This window comes from Homo sapiens, chromosome 22 (assembly GCF_000001405.40).
Source record: "Homo sapiens chromosome 22, GRCh38.p14 Primary Assembly".
NCBI classification, from domain to species: Eukaryota; Metazoa; Chordata; class Mammalia; order Primates; family Hominidae; genus Homo; species Homo sapiens.
In genome coordinates this window covers 20268613-20289928 of record NC_000022.11, presented here as the reverse complement: position 1 = coordinate 20289928, position 21316 = coordinate 20268613, and the positions used below count along the sequence as shown (strand labels likewise).

Here is a 21316-nt window from a genome sequence, read left to right as displayed (position 1 = left end):
TGTGAAGCTGTCTGTCCATGCAGGCCACACATGGATGGGGTGCAAGGACACGGAATGGAGGAAGACAGGACTCGGAGGACTCCCGTCTTACATGGCAATGTTTTTGTTTTTGCATCCACCGCTCTTGTATAAAGAGCAGTCTTTACAAAGTAATACCGCCTTGAGTTAACCCCACAGTTTATCTTGTAATGTGGAACAGTCAGGGTCAATTGAAGATGAGCATCCCCCTGAGGCTGACCCATAGCAGGGGCCGCTGGAGCCAGGCCCTTCGGGGTATTTGAGATTTCTTTAGCCAGGCCTGGGGGGCACTGGCAGGGAGGGCCTCCAGAGCTGTTCACAGCCTTTGTCTCCCCTCTGGGAAGGGCACTGAGTGGAGTCAGGTGAGGGGCCCGTGCTCGCCCACCAGGGTTGTTCCAAACACAGGCAGCCAAGCTCGCTGGCAAGCTCCCGGTGCCCTGTGAGCAGCTCTGACGTCGGTGGACAGTGTTCCCAGTGAGTCTGCCGTCAGTCCTTGCGCCCAGCATTGATTTTCCTTCCGCGGTCAAGCTAGGCTGTGTTGTTGGTACTCGCTGTACCTCCAGGTGCTGAGCAAGCTGACCTTGGCCTCCCTGGCCCCACGGCTGCATGAGGCTAATCTCCCCCTACACACCCCACCCCTCTGCCCCCGCCAACACCAGGGCACAGAGGGGCTGGCCCATGGCTTTCTTGAAACGGTGCATTTCATTTCTGATTATAAAACTAAAGCGTGCTTTGGTAGACAGCGTGGTGGATATGGGGAAGGATAAAAGGACATCGACCTGTTCTGACATCCCAGCACCCAGGGCAGGGACCCAGAGGGGAGATTTGGGCATATTTCTCTCCACTGTCTTCTCTGCAGGCATGACACAGGTGTGCACACACACATCCAGCCCACTGACATGTGCGCAAGCATGAACACATGTGGGACACTTGCCCTGCGCCACAGTGTGTGTGAGGCATGTGCACGTCCACTGCCCTCTGTGGAAGGCGTGTTCACACCTGTGCACATACCTGAGGCCACTCTATCACTGCAGGCCCCTGTGCATTTCGTGGGAGGCATGTTCCCATTTCATTAAGAATTCTCAGCTGGGCACCGTGGCTCACACCTGTAATCCCAGCACTTTGGGAGGCTGAGGCAGGTGGATCACGAGGTCAGGAGATCGAAACCGTCCTGGCCAACATGGTGAAACCCCATCTCTACTAAAAATACAAAAATTAGCTGGGCATAGGGACATGTGCCTTTAATCCCAGCTACTCAGGAGGCTGAGGCAGGAGAATTGCTTGAACCAGGGAGTCGGAGGTTGCAGTGAGCCGAGATCGCACACTCCAGCCTGGTGACAGAGCGAGACTCCATCTCAAAAAAAAAAAAAAAAAAAAGAACTATTCGTGATGGATCTACTCCAGGCCCTGCCTTGCCATCACTAGCCACAGAGCAACTCACAGCCAGTGCTCTCCTCACAGGGGTCTGAATGGCAAGGAGTGAGCCCCAGGATGACCCAGGACAAGCGGCAGCAACAGGGTGAGTTCCCAGGATGGTGGACAGGCTGTGTGCAGCTCCCGGCTCTCAGCGGGTACAGAGATCCCAGGGAAAGCCATGAGATGACTCCTGCACTTGTCCTGCCAGCAACCTGCAGGGGTGGGTGGGTGGGATCAAGAGTGACAGCAACCGCAGACACCCAGACATCCCCCAAAAGAGCAAGGGGGGCTCTGGGTGATGTTCCAGAGGGGCAGGAGCGAGGAGGGAGGCCAGGGGCACCGAGGGCATCTCATCACATGGGCTCTGTCCCAGCCACAGTGCTGTCTCTCCCAGAGCCCTGTGTAGCCTCCTGCCCATAGGTGAAGACCCAGCCTCAGCTCCCTGCACGCAGCAGGCCCACGCATCCATCCATCTGTTCACACCAGGAAGCCCAGAGGCAGGTGGACGGCCTCTGTCTTGGCAGTGCAACGTTGCTGGAAGCATCCTCCAAGAGTCACCTAGCCCCACAGACACTGATGGAGGACAGCAATGATGCTTCCTGACAGCAACCACCATTCACTGAGCATTCAGCAGGGGTGGGTGTCAGGGTCAGCCTCCACCACGTCACTGTGGGAACAGCCCCCAGGACCCGCTAACTCATTTTATACATCAGGAGGAAAGCCAGGGAGCGCGACACACTCTCCAGCTACCGTGGGGCCAGCACACTGTCCAGCCACCTTGGGCCAGTGAAACGGAAAAAGTTCCCTTGTTGCCCTAGCAGGGTGTGTGAGAAGGGGAGTGGCTCGCTTCTTCAGTGCTCTGCTGCCCAAACCTCTAGGGGAGCTTACAGACGGGCAGGCTGTGGAGCTCCGACCCCACAGCAGTGTCTAGGGGTGAAGGTTTACAGCTGAAGCCCCAGTGGGCGTGTGTCACGGGGGCTTTTTTAGTTTGTCGTCTGTAGGGTGGCTTGTGTTAGTCAGAGGGCTTTCTGGATCCTGGGGTTCTTGCCTTTGTGTACCAGAAGAGTCAGATCACACGTGGACTTGGAGAATGAGTGCAAGGTTTTATTGAGGGGAGGTGGCTCCCAGCAGATAGGGGAAGCTAGAAGGGGGTGGAGTGGGAAGGTTTTCCCCTGGAGTGGGGCCGCTGTGCACCCGGGCTGTCCTCCAACTGCCCCAGCCAAACTCCGTGTGGTTCTGCCAGTCAGTGGCCTGCCAGCATGCCGGTGCCTATCAGTGCGTTCATCTCGACATCCAGCCGCCCGTGTGTGTCTCCGCTGATGTGTTCCTCTCCACGTCCAGCTGCCTGTGTCTGCCTGCTAAGGTCTCGGGGGATTTTATAAGCACAGGATGGGGGCGTGGCAGGCTAGGGTGGTCGTGAGAAATGCAACATTTGGGTAGGAAGTGCCTGTTCTCACCTAGGTCCGTGGGGTTGGAGCCCTAGTCTGGGACCATGCCCTCCTCTACCCAGCACTTCCCTCCCCTGCTTCCGTATCATTTAAATGGACCACACTTTTCCCTTCCCAGCACTTGCCTTCCCTACCAACAGCACATTCTCTAGCCACCATGGGGTCAGCACACTCTCCAGCTACGTGGGGCCAGCAGCGGCTGGGCTCCAACTCAGGTCTGCACCAGACCCTCATTCTTAAACCCCTGCGTCTCGGCCTGCCCATGTTCCAGCTTCCCCAAGTCTTGACTCCCAATGTCCCAGCCTCCTTGAGGTCTCAGTCTCCCTGTTCCAGGCCTCAGCCTCCCCTGAGTCCCTGCCTAGCCCAGTTCCTACCTCCCACATCCCCTCCCCAGGTCTCTGCTACCATGGCCCACCCAGCTGCACCCCCACCCCACAGGTCTCCTGGGACCCAGGAGGCCACTCATGGGCTAAGCCTGGTGGCATCCGCGTGTAAACCTTGCCCTGAGCACACGCCCGTGGCTGTGGCTGCTGACTTTCACTGTGCATATTAAATGCCATTAAGATGGATGGGATTGGCTTTCAGTGTCCAGAGGACTGCAGCACACGGAGGAACAGCCGCCCTGCAGGGCCTCTCCCCGAGCTCTGGCGGGTGAGCCCTTGTGGGAGGGGCTGGGGAGCTGGGACCCATTTAGGGTGTGGTTGGGGGAGAAGGCAGGAGGCAGGTGGGACCTCCCCCGGAACCTCTCCTGAGACACCCTAAGGGCTGGGAATGGGAGCTACTTGGTGGGGGAACCCAGCAGGGGTTTCCTGTCCCTGGGCTGTGGCCATGACGAGGACCCTCCTGCTGTTGCCTCTCCCAAGGCCACTCGGCCCCTGCTCACTGTGCAACCTTACAGAGCAGCTCAGCCTCTCTGAGCCCCTCTGTCATCTTTAGCCACTGCCCACCAGAGTCCCCTGGGAGCCACTGGCCGAGGCAAGGCTGGGCAGGGGATTGACATAGGCTCTCACTCCTTCAGATGCCCTCAAATGGGATTCAACCCTGTCTTGACTCCTGAGACCTCCCAGCCTAGGCTCTGAGGGTCTGTCCAGACCTGCAGGTAGATGGCTGGGCCTGCAGGGACAGAGGCGGCCGGCAGAGGGCAGCAGAGGGCCACAGAACTGAGTGGCCGGCACTCACCAGGCCGGGATGTGGCCACCCTGCATGCAAGCAGCCCTGCCTCTGCCCTGGGCCTTGTCCCACCCCAAGACACCCCAGGCCCTGGCTAAGCTGTGGCAGGGAGGCCAGGCCTCACCCCTCTCCCTCCTGACACCTGCCCAGCCACTGGCTTGGGCCGCCGCCCTCCAGGCCTCTCCTGCCACCCACCCCAGCACCAGGCCCCCTGATGCCCCTGCTTCCCTCCCAAGGGTCCCTCCTAGACACCATCCTGGCCCAGCCAAGATGCCAGCACAGGATCTCCCCAAAACACTCTGGAGGACGGGTGAGGCTCCAGCACCTTCCAGGTGGCACTCATGATGAACAATCCCAGGGGCCACGCACCCTGGACCCACCTCCCCCAACACAGAGACCCCCAAACAGGCCCTCAGCCATGAGTATGGACACACAAGGCTCCCGGTGTATGGGCAAAGGGTTGACACTGGCTCATAGTGTGGGCACCATGTCACAGGGCGAGACGGAGACTCAGCCCCCAGGGTAGTGGCCAGTGCTGACCTTGGGCTAGGCCAGGGCCTGGCCATGCTGAACCAGGTCTGAGCATCCTCAGAGGCCAGCATCTCCTTGTGGGGTCCCCACAAAGGCAGCCATGGGCTGGGCCCACCTTGAGCTCAGCACCTTGAGGGCCACAGAGCCTCATGGCCCAGGCCACTAGTGGTCCCTTTATGTTCTCTGGTGACAGGAAGCCCCCCTTCCCGTCAGCCCAGTCTGTCAGCCCCCTCTGCCCTGAGGTGAGGCTTCTATGACTGGTGAGGCCCATGGTCCTGGCTCCAACCTAGCATTCCTCGGGACCCACTCCCATGCCCGGCTCCCTGCCAGACCCACACACCCAACCCAGCTAACACCAGCCCCACCCCATCCTTCCCCCAGGGGGGCAGTACCCTCCACTCTCCTTCACTGGTCCCCTCTCTGTCCCCTCTTCCTGCCTCCCCGCCCTATCCACTGGGCCCTCGTTGTCTATCCTCCTTCCACCACTCTTGAGAAACTTCCCGCACATGAGCACCCATCCTTCCCCACACCTGCTCACCAGGCCTGGCTGGGCCTGACCCTCTCCTGAAGTGAGGGCTGCAGCCTGGTCGGCTCAGCTCATCAGCACAGACTTGTTTCTGTCACAACAGCTGGTGAGGACTGAGCAGACCATGGGCTAGCCAGGTCTCCACGGCCTGCCCTGGGCACCGTGATGCTCCAGGGTGGTGCAATGAGGGAGGAGCTGCAGGTGGCTGACAGCTGGCCGAGGCAGAACACGCCGATCGGGGCTGCCCAGAGGGGAGGTGGGCCCTTGGGCTGAGGGAGCCCCAAGGAACAGAGCTGAGCCCTGGACAAGCAGCACCTGAAACCCACCCCACCGGGCTCTCACCAGCCCCATGAGCCCACCACACCCCACCCCACTGCATCCCGGCCAGGCTGGGAGCTGAGTGCTGGTCACTCAGGGTTTAACCCTAATGTCCACCTTGCATTGGGGGTGGTCAGCTTGTCTTTTGATGTTGATGGAGGGAGATGGTGGGGGCGTCCAGCGGGTTCTACCTGATCACAGCCTTTGCCTTCCTCTGGATGCCTCCCCTTGGGAAGCCCTGTAAGAAAGAGGCCTGAGTGCCCCGGGGAGAACCCCACACTTCCCAGAGGAAGTTGGGCTGGGGGCGGCACTGACCCCTAATCTGGAGCCCTGGGCTAGACATTGGAGGTTTTCATGTGTAAGGAGAGGAGGCCCCTAGGAGGCAGAGGAGAAGGGCTGGGAGGTCCCCAGGCGAGGCGTCCCGTGGGCCACACCTCAGCACCTGGCTTCCCCCCTCAGTTGCCAAGAAAATGCCACCTCCCCTGGTAGATGGCAGCACATGGGGCTCCCAATCAGGCGTGGGGTTTGGCAGACCTCTGGATCCTCAAGTCCCAAGTCCTGGTGTGGCGAGTGCGCCCCAGAGCTTGGCTGCTGGTGAAAAGCCTGTCTTCCCAATTATCTGCAGCCAGCTTGCCTCAGGGATAATTGGCTCCCTGCAGCTCCTGCCAAGCCCCTTGCCTCCAGAGGAAGCTGTTGGGGAAGAGGCTGGGCAGCACAGGCCCCGGAACAATCTCACTCATGTCAGAGCCCCAGATACACCAAGCAGCCTCTGCAGTCCCAGAGACAGCCCCCCAGGGAGGCCCCTCCTGAAAGGCGGATGGTGGAAGGAGGAGGTGCTTCCTGGAGGCTATGGTGCCCTGGGAGAATGGTTTATTCTCAACCTGGATATTCAGGTCTATAAGCTGGGAAGATGGGAGCTGCAGACCCTGCTGACGCCCAGCCCCGCCCCCAGCCCCAGCCCCGATCTCCCCCAGCCTGGCAGCTCCTCCAGGCTCACACACAAGAGCTCCAGCAGGTCCCAGCCTGGCCATGGCCCCACCTGGCTGCACACCTCTGTCCTCGGGGCCCGTCGCCCTTTGGTGCCCTCTGTCCAGCCTCCAGGAGCCTGCACCGAATGTCTGGAGGTCCCTTGGCAGGGTCTCAGGTGACTTTTGAGAAGCTGGCGAAACCACACGCTCCCTCCTAGGACCCAGCATCAACTCCAAAGCTTGCCTTCCTCTCCAGGACTCAGGACTGACACCTGCCCAGGGCATCCATGCACAAAAGGGCCCCTTCGCCAAGCGCCTGTCTAGCAAATGACAGCCCAACTCAGCAAATGCCCACACCTCCCCAAGGGTCCCCAGGACATGGGCTGCCTGGTCCTGCTGACTGAAGGCCCCAGCACCTGCATGACGGTGGGACTGTCTGATTCTGGCACGTGCCCCAGGAGCAGCCCCTGCGGATGAGGGCTGCTGGCCAGGTAGGCACCCCACTGAACTGGCTTTGTCTCACGCTTCCCTGAAGCAGTGTTTTCAAGGACAGGGGCAATTTGAAACAAAGAGTTGGCTGATTAAAGGAGCACCCTCCTACCACTAACAAAAGATGGGCCAGGGCCAGAGCCAACACCGTATGCCACAGCACGCAGAACAAAGGCCTCATGCCCTGTCCCAGGCTGGCCGTGTGTCCCCTCCAGTCCTGTCCCTGGGCTTCCTGACTGCCTCATCTCCACTGTCTCTGGTAGCCACCCTCATTGCACCTTCCTCCATGCTGCCCTCTGAATGAGGCCACCATGTCCAAGGGGACATGGATGACTCCAGCTGGCATGGCCTTGCCCATCCCTTGGGGCTGCAGCACAGTGGCCACCCTCTTCTCACTGCTGGGAATGTTCTGGAGCTGAGTTGGTGCAGGGAGGGTGAAGAGGCCCCGAGCCCTCCACACTCCCACCTCTGGCAGCAGTTAGCAGCAGCTGGGGAGAGAAGGGTGTGAGCTCTTGCAGACATGGCACCCCAGGGTATCCTGTGCCAGGGAACACTTTGGCCATGAAGGGACTGTCGGGGCATGGCAAGCTCTGGGGGGCATCGAGGGTGCACTGACAGCACTTGTAGGGGAGCATGGTCCCAGTCTCTGCACTGTCCAGTCAGACAGGCCTGGCCTGAGTTCCAACTGCCTCTCCCAGCTGTTTGACCCCAAACATCATGGTTTTCTGGCCTCTGGAATGGTGCTGGAGAGGGATGAAAGCATCACCGGGGGTGCAGGAGGAACCACAAAGTCCTGTGGAAGTGCATGGCAGCCGTGAGCCTTTCTTTCTGACTATCTGAGACCCCAGGAGGGGCTGGGCGCTCGTCTGGGCTGAAGTCTCACAGTGAGGGGCGGCGGCCCCAGCCAGGATGCACCATTCATTGCCATTGATGAAGTCTGGGAAGAGAGGTGGTTTGGGGGACATCATCCCGGGTCCCCGGGGACCGGAGGGTCCCATCTTTGGAACGGAGGGGCCAGGGGCCATTCCAGAACAGTGTCCAGGAGAGAATGGGCTCTAAGCCGGCCATCCAGCCCCCTGCTGCCATGTGGGGCTCTATGCTGAGTGCATGGCCTCCCAGCCCCCGGCCTGTTTGATGGCTTCTCTCCTCCCCTCTCTGCTGCCTGGTCCCCTGGAGCTCTCCCTTCCCCAGCATGGGGCTCAGTTAAAGAAAAAACTGATGCCAGCAGATGAGGGGAGGAACAGCCCTGCTGGAGGCAAGGTGGGCGTGGGGGGAGCTTGTCTCCCCCGATGCGCAGGCAGTGGCTGGGGGAGCGTCTTCGGGGGTGGGGGATGAAAGCTCAGACTCTGGCCTGTGGGTTCCAGCTCTAGGCTTCCCAACCCCCAGGATCCCCAAAAGGTCTGTAGTGTCCTGGGCACCCAGGCCCTGATCTCGGGGGCAGGGGGCACAGTGCCTCCCACAAGCGGCTCTCGGCCCAGCCTCAGGGCTCCTCATGCACACCCAGGGCCTCTGGAGTGGGCAACTCCTGCACCCTCCGCTTCCCTCAGCTCAAAACCAGGGCAGGTTCAAAACGCGCGTGCAGCTCATCGTACACACGGGTTTGGAATTTCCAACGTGGTGCCTCCAATTTCACAAAATATTGCCCCACTTTAGACTTTCTCAAGGAAAGGAAATGGGGGCTGGGAGGGCCCAGGGCCTGTGGAGGGTGGGGCTGGGGGAAGCAGCCATGGGACCCTTTCCCCGCTGCTTTCAATCTGGCTCAGATATTTTTTAGATGAAATAAAATCTGATACAGTGGTGGTTTCTGCACTGGCCCCAGGGTCTGGGGTCAGAATTCCCCCGCTGGGGCACAACAGGTGCCATTTCCCATGTTTGGGGGCTCAGGGAACAGGGTGTGAGCCATGAGGGGAGGGGCTTGGGAAGGTGGGGACGGGCCGCTGGAGGCCGTGGGCCGGCGTCCTGGTATGGCAGCCTCCACCGCGGCAAGCAGGTCATTTGATGCCCAAGGCCCAGGGCCCCCTGTCCAAGGTGAGGAGCCGTGGCTGGGTCTCTGGGGAGGCCAGGCTGCCTGCAGTGGACCGGCTGTACCCTGGAGCCCCACGCTAATGCCCATCCTCAGATGCTCCCAGCTCTGGCTTGCCTCAGGGCCTTGGCACTGGTGACCCCTCCCGGTCTCCTGCGCTGTCTTCAGAGCCTATGGCAGCAGCCCCACCTGAGTTCCAGCTCTGCAGTCTGCTTTGGGCTACGTTTCCTCACTGCAGGCCCAGCTGGCTCTCAGCATGGTATCTGCCCGGGTGCCCGCATCACAGAGACTGGGGTATGGAGGATGGCAGGCTCCCAGGGACCCTCTGGGCCGATCTCCAGGTTGGGTGCATGCTGGACACTCACTCCATTCTGCCCTCCATTTGCCCATGCTCCGTCCACCCAGCCAGGCACGGAGGGTCAGGGGTGTGTGGGCAGGTGCTGCTCAGAGGCCCTGGCTATGGGGCAGGGGGCCCAGCCTCAAGACTGCGGCCTGGCCCTGAGCGTGGGCGCAGCCTGGCTCCCCGACTCTCCCTCCCCATAAATAAAAGATTCCCTTCCTCCTTCCAGCTTGCGCAGCCGCCGCCTGCTCGCCGGCCCGGCCCTTTGTGCCCACGCGTTGCCATGGAGATGGGCGATTCAAAGGCCTGGCACTTCAAGGCTTCCCTCCTCTCCTGGCGGGCCGGGGCGGGGGTAGCCGGGATGGTTGCCCGAGCCCCAGTGGGTGCTGCCTCCTCTCTCCGTCCAGCAAAATGCCAGATCCTGCCAGGGCTAGGGCACCCACCAATTCTCACTCTGGTGTGGGTGGCTGACTCTGGCCCCTACCCTGGAAACAGATGCGCTTTTACGGGACCTTCTTCAAAGTTTGATAGAATAAGGGAAACTGAGGCACAGCTGGTCCCTTGGCCACCGTGGGGAACACAGAGCCAACTCCCTGTCTCATGCACCATTTGCACAGTGTGCTGGCCAGGTTATCAGGCTCCAGGACGTGGCCCTGCGGAGAGGCTGCCCTTCCTCCATCCCAGCATGGACGGCCCAGGGCTGGAAGCCGGGATTTGGGGTGAGCTGCACCGGGATGACTAATCCAGCCACAAAGCCGTCCCCTCCGCACTCTGCCCGCCATGCGGGTTGGAGCTATCTCTGAGTCACCATCGAGACGTTGAGAATGTCGCAGGGTCTTTGAGGCTCTTCTGCTCCCCCCAATCCTGTTCCCCACTCATACTTTTTATCTCCCCACAATCTGCCCTTTGATGATCTCCTAAGACTCATGCAACCAGCAGAATCGACAGCAGCACTTTCTGGTTCAGCCACTGCCTCCCACCTACCCCATTGCGGCAGCCACTTGGTATTTGTTGCCTGCTCACTGTGGCAGCCAGGCAAGTCTGGGACCCCTTAGAGCCTCGGTTTCCTCTCCTGTGTAATGGAAGCAGTTGTCCACTCTTAACAAATGTCCAGAGATGTCTGGGGGCCAGGTCTCTGTGCTGGGCCTGGGAACAAGACACCTGATTTTGGGGGAGATTCTTCCCCCTTGCTCCACCCCATGAACTCTGGTGAGGGTGACCACCACACACCACAGTTACTTCCCGGCCCCAAGTGGCTGGCCCATCAGGGACTTCCCAGGAGTCACAGGTTGGAGGGAAGGAAGCCAGGGAGAGGTGGCAGAGCCGGCTGCACCCCAAGGCTGTCTCCAAGGGGCCCATCCTTGGCCTCCATCCACCCCTCCCTGGCCCGGACCCCTGTCCTGCCTCAGCAGCCCAGCCCACGGCAGCTGTCCCTTCACCGGCTGCAAAGATGGTGGCCCTGGTCCTGGCCGTGGAGCAGGCAAGGCGCGTGGAACATAAAGAAATATGGTTGTGAAGTGGCCAGGCCATGGAGGAAGCTCGGGGGACCTCGATGTCTACATTAAGACCTCCCAGGAGTGGGTTGTCCCTTCTGGAAGGGTGCTGGGGACAGCCGTGTGGCCCTTTTCAGTGGAAGGATCCCACATCCTCAGGCAGTGCCATCACATCCCCCGAGAAGCCCTGAAACCCAGGCATGAGGATGCAGCTGGCCCGGTCCTGGCAGGGAAGGGAGCGCAGCAGCTGGGCTCCGGCTCGCCTACCCACTGATCGCCAGTGTCCTGGGTGAGAAAGCAGGGGGCTTTTGTGCACACATGGGCCTCGGGACTGGGTCAGGGCTCAGGCTCCCCAGACGGGAGAAAGTGCATGCAGGGCCACTGGCTCCCCAGCTGAGGCTGAGGGAGGCGTCCTTGCCTTCCGTGCTCAGAGCCCTGTCTCAGGTGCTTGGCGCTCTTCTCTGCATCTTGGGTTTCCAGCAGGCCTGCCCCGCCCCAGGACTTGTGGGGAGGCTGGGACTGACCGCGATCCCCCAGGAACAAGGCAGATGATTGATAGAACTGGGCCCCGCCTGCTCTCTCAGCCCCCAGAGCCCCCAGAGGTGAGCTCCAGATGTCACCAGGGCTAATTTGGGAGCCCCTGCCCCATAGAGGAAACCCCCTGCACCAGGCAGAGCCCCGCTTGGCCCCCGCTTCAGCCGAGGGCTGCGGCCCACACTGCCACCTCCCCTACCCTGCGGCGGAGCTAGATGATGGCTGTTCTGTCAAGGGGGCCCTCGGCCTAGAGCATCAGCGCCACTCGGCCAGGACTAGTTCAGGTGGTAGTTCGGGGCTTTGACCCCGGCCTGTCTGATCTGCAGGCCGAGCATCCCCCACCACACTGTTTTCTACAGGTTGGAATGGAAAGGAGGCCAGAGACCAGGAGACCCAACCACAACCACGCAGGAGAGGGCTGGTCAGGGCTGAGGCTGCTGCCCCTGACCTGAGAGCAACAGCACCATGCCCCTCCATCTGCCATCTGCACACAGGGTCGCCTCCAGCCCACAGGGCAAGGGGGCCGGGGCTGGGTCCTGAGTGCAGGGGTGTCCTTGGCAGGGTAAGAGTCAGCCTAACTCAGACTCCACTGCCACACTTTGCAGTGAGACTGACAGGTGGAATAAACCCACCAGGCCCCCCAGCACCAGGAAGAGCTCTTCGGAGTGGCCCAGGCCTGGCCATGTCCCTGAGAGAGGGGTACTGCTGGTGCGCCCTGAGCGGGGGGTGGGCTGGGCCCTACTGCTTGGTTCTATCTCAGATTTTTGCTAATAAGCCCGTCTTTTTTCTTTTTTTTTTTTTAATAAACTTTTCAACTTTAGAACAGTTTTATCTTTGCTGAAAAATTGAGAAGACAGTACAGAGAGATCGCATCTACCACACACCAGTTTCACCGTTGTGAGCATCTGGCATTGGTAGGTTAGAGTTGCTGAGCCAATAGCGGCACACTATTATCAGCCATCGTCCATGCAGTGTTCACATTTCCTTCGTCCTTACCGATGTCTTTTTCTCCATACCAGGATCTGATTTTGGTCATTGAAATTGCCAAAAACAAGGGGACACAGGAGTGTGTTTGGCCAGGTGGGCCACCTGCTGCTGCCGCCCCCAGATGTTCATCCCAGCCCCCCACACACTCGGGGGATTTTCAAAGGGTCTCACGTGTTGGGTGCCAGAGACACCCTCCTGGGCCTCGGATTCCTCCTCTGTGATGAAGGCGGGGGCTGCTGGCTCCTCCATACCACGCTCGGCCCCCAGCAGACAGGCAACAGGGGCCTTGTCCCACTGTAGCTGTGGTCAGGTGGTCCAGGGCTAGACGGTCCTACGGGGAGCTGAGGCCCCCACCTCGAGATCTCCCTGCCCAAGACACCAGTGGGGTTGGGGTGGGTCAAAGGCCTGTTCCTCCAGGGCCCATAGGAGGGGCTTCTTAATCTGAGGGTGAGAGGGTTTGGGAGGTGACACCCCAACTCCCACCCCAATTCTCACCCTCCACTTCTCACCCCACAAGCTATCACCATGACTGCCCACCTCCACTTCTCACCCCCACCTCTCATCCCTACCTCTCACCTGCCGCTCTCACCTACCACATCTCACCCCCAATTCACACCCCTACCTCTCACTCACACCTCTCACCTTCCAGTTCTCACTCCATTTCTCCCCTCTCAACCTCTTCCTGCCCTGAGCTCAGCCTCCACTGAAAAGGTGGCCTTTTCCCCAGATAGCTGGGCAGGGGCTGGACCGGACAGATTGCTGGCAGGGGAGGCACACTTGCTGTTCTTTGGTGAGAGTGGCTCTTGCCTCCTATGATCCTGGAGCTCAGGCCTGTCCAGCACCCCTCCTGGAGGCAGCAGGGTGGGTGTGTTCCTGCAGACATGGACAGACCACCTTGGCACTCAGGGACCAGCGACCCAGCCCCTCATCCGGGCAGCCATCCTGGATCACTCCCCGCTGCTCTAGCTGACCGGCATCTTAGCACCTCCCCAGGGAATGTCCCCAGGCCCTGCAAACTCAGTCCTGTCAGCCCCAGCCCGCTCTGGGACCCCTCAGGAATGCTCCTTTCCTCAAGTCCTCTTCCTCCCACGGCCTCCATTCCCCCGGATTCTCTGCTAGGAAGTAGATCTCACCCTGTTTCACCATCAGGGAAACTGAGGCTGGGAAGGTAAAGATACTGCCCAGAGCCATGCCTGTGGGAGGCCTGGGACTTGCTGGTGGCCTGTGAAGGTTGGGCAGGGGGGGACAGCTTGAGTCCGCAGGACCACCAGGACCACATCTGGCAGTGGAGGCCTAGGGTGAGGGACTGGGGCTGAGCAGGGCCTCTGTGCTGCCACTGTTGAATGTGACACGGCTCCTGAGAAGCAAGACCAGAGACAAGTTAAGCAGGCCTCTGCTAACGGGGCGCTAACAAAGACAAGAAGGGTGAGCAGGCATCAGGAGCGCTTGGGGACTCGCGGTGGGATGGCCATGAGAACTCGGCCCACGGCCATGTCAGTGGTGGCAAGGAGAGGATGGATGTCAGCTGGTTTTTATTTTATTTTATATTTATTTTTATTTTTTTTTAATTATTTTTCTAGAGGGTCTTGCTCTGTTGCCCAGGCTGAAGTGCAGTGGCACAATCATGGCTCACTGCAGCCTCGAACTCCTGGGCTAACGTGATCCTCCCGCCTCAGCTCCCAAGTAGCGGAGACTACAGGCGTGCATCGTAACAGCCAGATAATTTTATTTTTTAATTTTTATAGAGACTGGGACTCACTATGTTCCCCAGGCTAGTCCCGAACTTCTAGCCTCAAGGGATTCTCCCCGCTCTGCTGGGATCACAGGTGTGAGTCACTGCACTTAGCCTGTTTTACTTTAAAATATATATATTTCCTGTTTTGAATGGGTATCCTCTCCTTCCACCCCATCCCCAGCGACCTGACACCCCCAGCTGTACCTGCAGGCGGTCCCCCTCCTCACCCCCACTAGACATATCTGTGAGTGCCTCACCCCGGCCCCACCAGACCCGCAGGCCTCTCCCTGCCCTCCAACAGCCAGACCTGTGGGAGCCCCTAAGCAGCCCCCCTAGGGAACCCCCAGCCTGATGCGGCTGCCATCCCTGTGGGTGAGGGGCAGCATCTCACTGCAGCTTAGATCCGCATGTTTCTCACTCTGAGTGAAGGTCAGCAGGGGGTGATGGGAGGTTCCTTTCATGCCTTTGCCCATTTTTCTCTTGGGCTGTTGCTCTTTTTCTTACTGATTTGTATTGAGAACCAAAAACGGCCCTTTGTGAACTGAGTTGCCGATGTTTTTACCCTTTGTTGGTTATCATTTTATGGTGGTTTTTTTCTCTCCATGCATCTGCCTTTTATTTTCACGAGGTTGAATATACCCATCTTTTACTTCATGGCTTCTGGGTTTTGTATAATTCTTAGAGTGACTCAAGATTGGTTTTTTGCCATCCATGCTTTCTTCTAGGAGTTTTATGGTTTCATTTTTACTTTTTAAATCTTAGTTCCACTTGGAACTTGTTTTAGCGTCAAGGAGTGAGGTAGGAATCCAAATGTTTCCTCCATATGTCAATTCCGTTGTCTTAAGGCCAAGTGTTGATTGTATATGTGGGATTATTTGTTGAATATTCCATCTCTCCTCTTGGATTTGACCTGCCTCTTCTCATATTTGCATTTGAGCCTCTTTCTGGACTCTTTCCCATCGTGTGACTGTCCAGGGTCTGTGTTAATTATCATGGTCTTAGAATATAAGGCGTTTCAGGATGCGACATGGCCCATCTCTCTCCGTACGTTCATTCTTTCATGTGAACTTCACAATTGCTCTGGATGGGCCTCCTGATTCATTCAAGGAACAAGCCATCAGGCTTCAGCCAGGCCAGAGAATGGGCCGTGGGTCCCAGCACTGGGCTTTCATCTGGGTTCCATCCGATTGGCCTGTGCCCCAGGGCCTGGCTCCTCGGGACTCAGCCAGTCCTGCCGGTGGAGTGCATAGGCATGACGCTGAGTGCTGGACTCTGTTTCCACGAGAGGCCTTGGGGTGGAGGGGTGTCCCAAGGGAGTGGCCGAGGCAGAGGACCCTCTTTCTGGATGTCCTCACTTGCCCATGGGAAGGGAGGTGGTCCTGGCTGAGCCACAAGGCCCTGCAAGCCCAGGCCCTGCACACATGCACCTTGGTAGAGCCAGCCAGAGAGGCCTGATGACCAGAGCACCTAAGCGGCAAGGGCAGGCAGGAGTGCCCAGGAGGGAGCCAAGCTGTGGCCGCTCTGCTGAGCCATCCGTTCCAGCAGGCAGCAGGCAGCGGACTGAGAATGCTCAGTTCAGAACTCGAGCCTGGGCATGAACCGGAGCCTCCAGAAACCTGCCCCTTAAGCGGGTCGGCTAAGAGTGGCAGCTGGGAGCTGGAGACCCAGGACACAGGCAGCCCCCAGCAGCCCATGTGGCCTCTTCTCAGCCACACCCCGAGGGCCCCAGGCTCTGCTCCCACCATGGCCGGCCTCCTGGGAGCCCCTCGCCTGGCTGGATGGGCCAGTGGGGCGGGGGCATTGAGCAGAGGGTGGGTGGGGCCAGCAGACCCCAGATGTCCGGACACAGACTAGGAGAAGCGCCTCTAAGGCTGGCAGCAAACCCCGGCCAGCCTGGACCGTCAGCAGGAATCCTGGCTAAAAATATCCCAGTCTCAGAGGCCTGCCGGCTGCTGCAGCCTCCTCAGAGCCCCCTCCTCACGCTGGGCACCGCCCCTGTGCCCCTCCACCTCCCTTGCAGGCAATAAGGCCTGCGGACACAGGAGGAAACTTAGGCCCTGTGCCAGTGAGTCCCAGCCCCAGGGCCTGGCCTCCAGGACTGCCCACAGAGGCCCCCATCTCACTGTAAGGCCCCGCCCTGCTCCGCACCCATGAGCCTGGGAAGGGGTCAGGGCAGGCCCCATCACGACTAGCTCAGGCAGGGGCACAGGCTCTGCTGGCCCCACCCTGCACAGCTCCCTGTCCCATGGCTCTCAGAGGCAGAGCCACTGGCTGGGGGGCAGAGCCCCAAGGACTTGGTCTGAGTCACCCTAGCAGAATGTGGGGTGCTAGGTGGGCTCTTCCCAGTCACCCCTGTGGGCTTCAAGTGACCAAATGGCATGGCTATGCCCTTTATCCTGGAATCACTGACTGGGGGACTCAGGCCAAGGCCCGCCTCCCAGGCACTCAGTTTCCCCACCTGTAACCAGTGGGGATATGTGGAATGGGGGTCCAGCAGAGGTATGCAGGGTGTTACAGTCTGCCTCCCAGAGTGTTTGTTGAGTGACTGAGGAAGTGAGCAGATGAAGGCGGCAAGGGAGGCTGTGGAGGGTGGGGCTACTGAGCTCAGAGTCAGGCTGGCCCTTTTGCGTCCTTGACGGAACCCTGTGGTAAGCCCTCAGCCTCTCCATCTGGGAAACGGAACAAACCTGCATGCTGCATGGATTGTGGTGGCCCAGAGTGGGGAACCCAGGGGCCCAGGGAGCTCCTACAAGAGCAAGGCTGGGCACTGGCCAGCCGAAGCATCCCAGGGGCCATCTCACTATGGCCCCAAGATGGGTTTGGCGGTCTACCCTGCCTTCCACTCCCCACCCACTCCTGCTGACAGCTATCACCATGCCTTCCCTGCCTTCCCTGCCCCACTGGGAGCTTGTGGGTGTTTTCAGCGGGTGCCCCTCCCCCCCGACCCGGTTTTGACTGCCCGCTGGGCTCCTGGTGTGAACAGCGGCTCCCAATTTAGCTGTCACTGCCAGGTGGGTGGCTCTAGAAGGATCCACACTCCCTGCAGGGGCGGGGGAGGGGCGTGAAGCCACAGCGGATGCCTTGGGCACAGCCCAGGGACCCCCGCCTTCCGGAGCTCTGCCCCTGCACCAGATTTGGGCCTTCAGGGACCAGAAGCCGCCTACTCCCCAGCCCCCACCAGCCGGCCTCCCCAGAGAGAGGCCACCAACTCGGTTGTGCCCACTGAGAGAAGACCCTGAGCCCATCTGCTGGCAAACACAAGTGGCCCGAGGCTCATCTCAAGGTCCAGGAGCCCTGGGGACTCACCCCTTCCTCTAGGCACCAGGAAGAGTGGCGGACCAGGGTCCAGGTGCCAGCCTGGCATGTCCCACTTGGCCGAGTGTCCTTTCATCTCCGTTCAGGCTCCCATCCTGGAGATGGGCCACAAGGGATCCAGTCCAGGGCTGGGGGACGCAGAGGTAAGGGCCATCACTGTGCAATGCATACGTCCCATTGACGGTCCCCAGCAGCCTCCAGGTGGTGGGAGGTGCGCATGGTCCGTCAGGGGGCCTGCCTAGTGTGGCACAATCCAGGATGCCATTCTGTGGGAGGAGGCCCTCGCTAGTGAAGGGTCAGAGGCATTTGGAGATGGGCAGGCCCAGTGGGATTCTTGGGGCCACTGCCAGGGTTTGGTTGTCGGTCCCTTCCTTGTGCCAGCCCCCTTTGCTGCTGCTGTGGCTTTGATGAATAAGAGATGAGGAAGCAGATTAATTATGGCTTAACATGCACCAAAGTTGGGCAGAGGGACTCCTAGGGATGGGAGTCCTCAGGGGTGCAGAGCTGATAGGGGAAGGCCAGGACACCCTCTGCAGCCCCGGGGATGGGGGATGGTGAGAGGCTTCTGGAGGAGGCGGAGGCTGTGGACAAAGAGAGGGCAGAAAGGGGCTGCCAAGATGTGGGTCCACCTAAGCTCCCCAGACCTCCTTCTCTGGTCTGGAAAATGGGTAGTGGTAGTAGTGTCTACACTGTAGGATTGAATGGGATGACTCACTCAGCAGGCCTGGCACAGAGTCCTCTTAGGCCTTGGGCATGCAGCCGCCCTCCATGGTGAGAGCAGATGGCAGGCCAACACCCCCCAGCTCCCTGGCACTGGGACCACATCCCCAGCCGCCCACTCAGAGTGCAGGGAAGGTCAGTCACATTGACACACTTGGGCAGCAGGCATGTGCTTGCCACATGACCTTCTAGCTTCCTTCTTGGTCTCTCCTTGCATTGGCCTGGAGTGGCCCAGAATGTGTGGAGCAAAGACCCAGTTTCCTTGCTGCCCCATCCCTCCCCAGGAGACACTGAGGGCCTGGATGTCCGTGAGTACCGCACAGGCATGCCAAGGAAAGCCATGGCACGCCTATCTCTCCAGGCAGGAGATGAGTCTTCCCAAGCCCTGGGAAGCAGTGACCTTCCAAGGAGGCTGAACCGTGTCCCTGTCAGCCCAAGACAGGCCACCGCGAAAGTTCCCCTCATCTCAAGCTGGCTTCTATGGGCAGTCCTGGAGTTTTGAGTGAAAACCCTGCATGATCCTCTCAGGGGACAGGCGAGGTGAACAAAGGAGGGATGGTGACCAGCTGACCAGGACCTGAGGCATTAGCGTCTGCCTCGTCCACATGCTGTGCAAGCTCAGCGAGGCCAAGGGACTGGGCTGAGGTCACACAGCTGGGCAGGGCCCTCATGACCGGCATGCTGGTCGTGGAGGCTGAGCCCCACATTTTGGGTGTGGGTGTGGGTGGGAGGTGAGACAGCCCCTGGCCTCACTGTAGAGGGGTGGTGGGCTGGGGAAGCTGGCAAAGAATGTGCCCCACATGGTGGGTGTGAGGTGGGGAACGATTCGGGCAGATGCCCGTGTGGCCCTGCTGACCCAGTCCAGGCAGGGTGTGACAGGTCTGTGTGGCCCTGAGGGCACAGCTGTCTGCAGTCTCCAGCTCACTCCTGATCCCCAGGGCCACGTGTCCAGAAAGCCTGGGAGCTTGCATCAGCTGGGCACAGATGGCCTGTCCTCCCAGCACCCCTGATGGGGCTTCCTAGGAACTGACTGGTGTAGACTCCGGGCAGCAGACGGCCAGGCTCTGCCCACAGGGTCCCTGGCTCCTCCCACAAGGTGACCCGATAGAACTGGTTGTGCCCCTTGACCAGGGGCTCCAGCCCTTGTCAAGCCCTCCCTGCTAGCCCCTCACCAGCCGTCAGCTGCTCCCCTTCTTGCCCGTTGGGCCCTGGGGGGTGATGGCTCCGTGGTCGCCTGCCCAAAGAGTACACCACTCCCCATGCTACCCCTCACCCGGCTACACCCTGAAAAATGTGGCTTACCAAACCCTCCCACATGCGCAGCCTGAGAAGTGGGCTGTGCCTTGCTGGTAGCAGACCCACCGGCTGCCTAGCCCTGCTCAACTCTGCCTCTGCACCCCCATAACTCCCTATCAGCGCTGGCCGACGCCTAACCATCCCAGCTAGCACCCAGGAGTGGGCCCAGCTTCCAGTGGGGAGGGTGCTGGCCAACGTGCTGACCGAGGTGGCGGACACAGGAAACCAGCCCATCCCCCAGCGCTCCCTCTGCAGGCCTCAGCCCTGCTCCCATGCAGAGACCTGTGGGGAGGTGGAGGCCCAGGTCCCAGCGCAGAGCAACCGGGAACAGCCAGGTTGGTGGCTGGAGAGGGTGCTGGTGCCAGAAGCCTCCAGGGCCACCCCTGCTCCCCATTTCACCCCATGCCCATCCCATGCCCCAGAATGGTCACTTCGGCTGCGGCAGGAGGGGTGGGAGGGGCTTTAAACCTATGAGATAGGGTGTGGGGTCACAATCTTCAGCTATAGTGGGCTGCTCTGGGTCACTGGTAATTGAAGAGACGCCTGCGGAGTAAGCAAGCAAGTGTCCTCTCAAGGCCTTTCTGCAAGCACAGAGCAGCCCGAGACTGGAGCCTGGTCCACCCCAGCGCTGTCCTCAGACTGATGGTCAGTGCCACGTGACTCATCTAGGGTCTGATACATCCCTGTGGAGAGAGCTCAGTTCCTAGCCTGGGGGCTGCTGTGTGCAGGGACCCTGGAGAAGAATGCTTGTCTGGGGGTCAGGCCTCAGCCTCCCACTGGCTCTGTGAGCTTCGCCTGAGGTTCCCTATCTGTGCAATGGGTGATGACGTCTTGGTGTGGCTCTGGGAGGACCTGTTGAGCCACCTCAGGGGCTGAGCTGGTGGCACTCGGCAGCCAGCACCCTCTGGGGAGGTGGCAGTGTGTGCACAGCCCACCCCTTCAGGAGGCCAGGGGACAGAGTGGCTGGGGGTGTCTGGGCCCCACCTCACCTTCTGTGTGGCTGGGAATGGCATGCACTCCACAATGCCCTCATAAGCCTAGGCTGGGACAAGGGTGATAGGGATAAAGCAGGCCAAAGTGATGAGGGCCACAGAGCGGCAGCCAGAGGCATGTGGGCAGTGCAGCCTCCACACCAGGCAGAGGGCCCACCCAGCATGGCTCCACCCTGCGAAGCTGCCTGCCACTGGGATCAGATGGGAGCACCAGGGCTCTGGGAGGTCCTCACTTCCTCTGCACAAGGCAGGCAGGTCACCGGCCCTGCGCCCTGCTCATCTCCCTCAGGGCCACCTCCATGGCCAGGGGCAGGCAGAGGGCACAGGGGTGCCCAGTCACCAGGTCTCTCTGCTTCATATCAGTGGACCTGGGCTCTGAGGGGGGCCATCAAGGCATCAGGCTGGCCCACTCCGTCCTTGAGTCAGGGTCCTACAGACTGACACCAGGTGGGCCTGCAAGACCCTCATCTGCATGGTCCTCTCATGCAGGGTGGGCCTGGGGAGGACCCAGCCCGGCTGAGCTGACTCCCAGCACTTCTCCAGGTGCAGGGGCAGCCTGGCAGTTGTCTGAAGACCCCGGGATGCACTTAGGAGCTCATCGGTGAGGCCCGGTAGGTGCCCCGAGCAGAAGATTGAGAAGGGACACCTGCACCCCTGTGTGGTGTGTGCAGGGGCGTCACTGGATTCTCTGGCCCCATGCCTCACACCGCCCGTGGGGGGCTGGCTTGGTAGAGTGGGGGGATACTAAGCAGGTGACCTCGGAGAGCGTCTTCTGGGTTTGGAGCCCCCATTCCGCAGAAGGGAAGAGGTGGGGGACCCCTGCAGGGTTACGGGTAACATCAGGCCTAGGTCCCTTCTCTAGGATGGTGCAGAGAGGGCCACAAAGGCCCAGGAGGGCCCCCAGAACTCTCTTAAGCCCTGAGCCTGTTTCTTACTGAAAAATGGGGGCGATCGTGCTGCAGCAAGGGGCTTCTGTGCAGGGGGCGGGGGATTCATG

General features: G+C 60.2%; 5 annotated features.

The window, feature by feature from the left end:
- Positions 4039–4108: a silencer, noted in NCBI's record as "silent region_13488". NCBI's record gives its function as "represses an Ori minimal core promoter by ATAC-STARR-seq in GM12878 lymphoblastoid cells {active_cell/tissue: GM12878}" and the evidence as "EXISTENCE:reporter gene assay evidence [ECO:0000049][PMID:35858748]".
- Positions 5517–6256: an enhancer, noted in NCBI's record as "H3K4me1 hESC enhancer chr22:20271196-20271935 (GRCh37/hg19 assembly coordinates)". NCBI's record gives its function as "activates a minimal SCP1, AML or CMV promoter by ChIP-STARR-seq in naive H9 embryonic stem cells {active_cell/tissue: H9 hESC(naive)}" and the evidence as "EXISTENCE:reporter gene assay evidence [ECO:0000049][PMID:30033119]".
- Positions 6257–6997: an enhancer, noted in NCBI's record as "H3K4me1 hESC enhancer chr22:20270455-20271195 (GRCh37/hg19 assembly coordinates)". NCBI's record gives its function as "activates a minimal SCP1, AML or CMV promoter by ChIP-STARR-seq in primed H9 embryonic stem cells {active_cell/tissue: H9 hESC(primed)}" and the evidence as "EXISTENCE:reporter gene assay evidence [ECO:0000049][PMID:30033119]".
- Positions 6998–7737: an enhancer, noted in NCBI's record as "H3K4me1 hESC enhancer chr22:20269715-20270454 (GRCh37/hg19 assembly coordinates)". NCBI's record gives its function as "activates a minimal SCP1, AML or CMV promoter by ChIP-STARR-seq in primed H9 embryonic stem cells {active_cell/tissue: H9 hESC(primed)}" and the evidence as "EXISTENCE:reporter gene assay evidence [ECO:0000049][PMID:30033119]".
- Positions 14765–15265: an enhancer, noted in NCBI's record as "H3K4me1 hESC enhancer chr22:20262187-20262687 (GRCh37/hg19 assembly coordinates)". NCBI's record gives its function as "activates a minimal SCP1, AML or CMV promoter by ChIP-STARR-seq in primed H9 embryonic stem cells {active_cell/tissue: H9 hESC(primed)}" and the evidence as "EXISTENCE:reporter gene assay evidence [ECO:0000049][PMID:30033119]".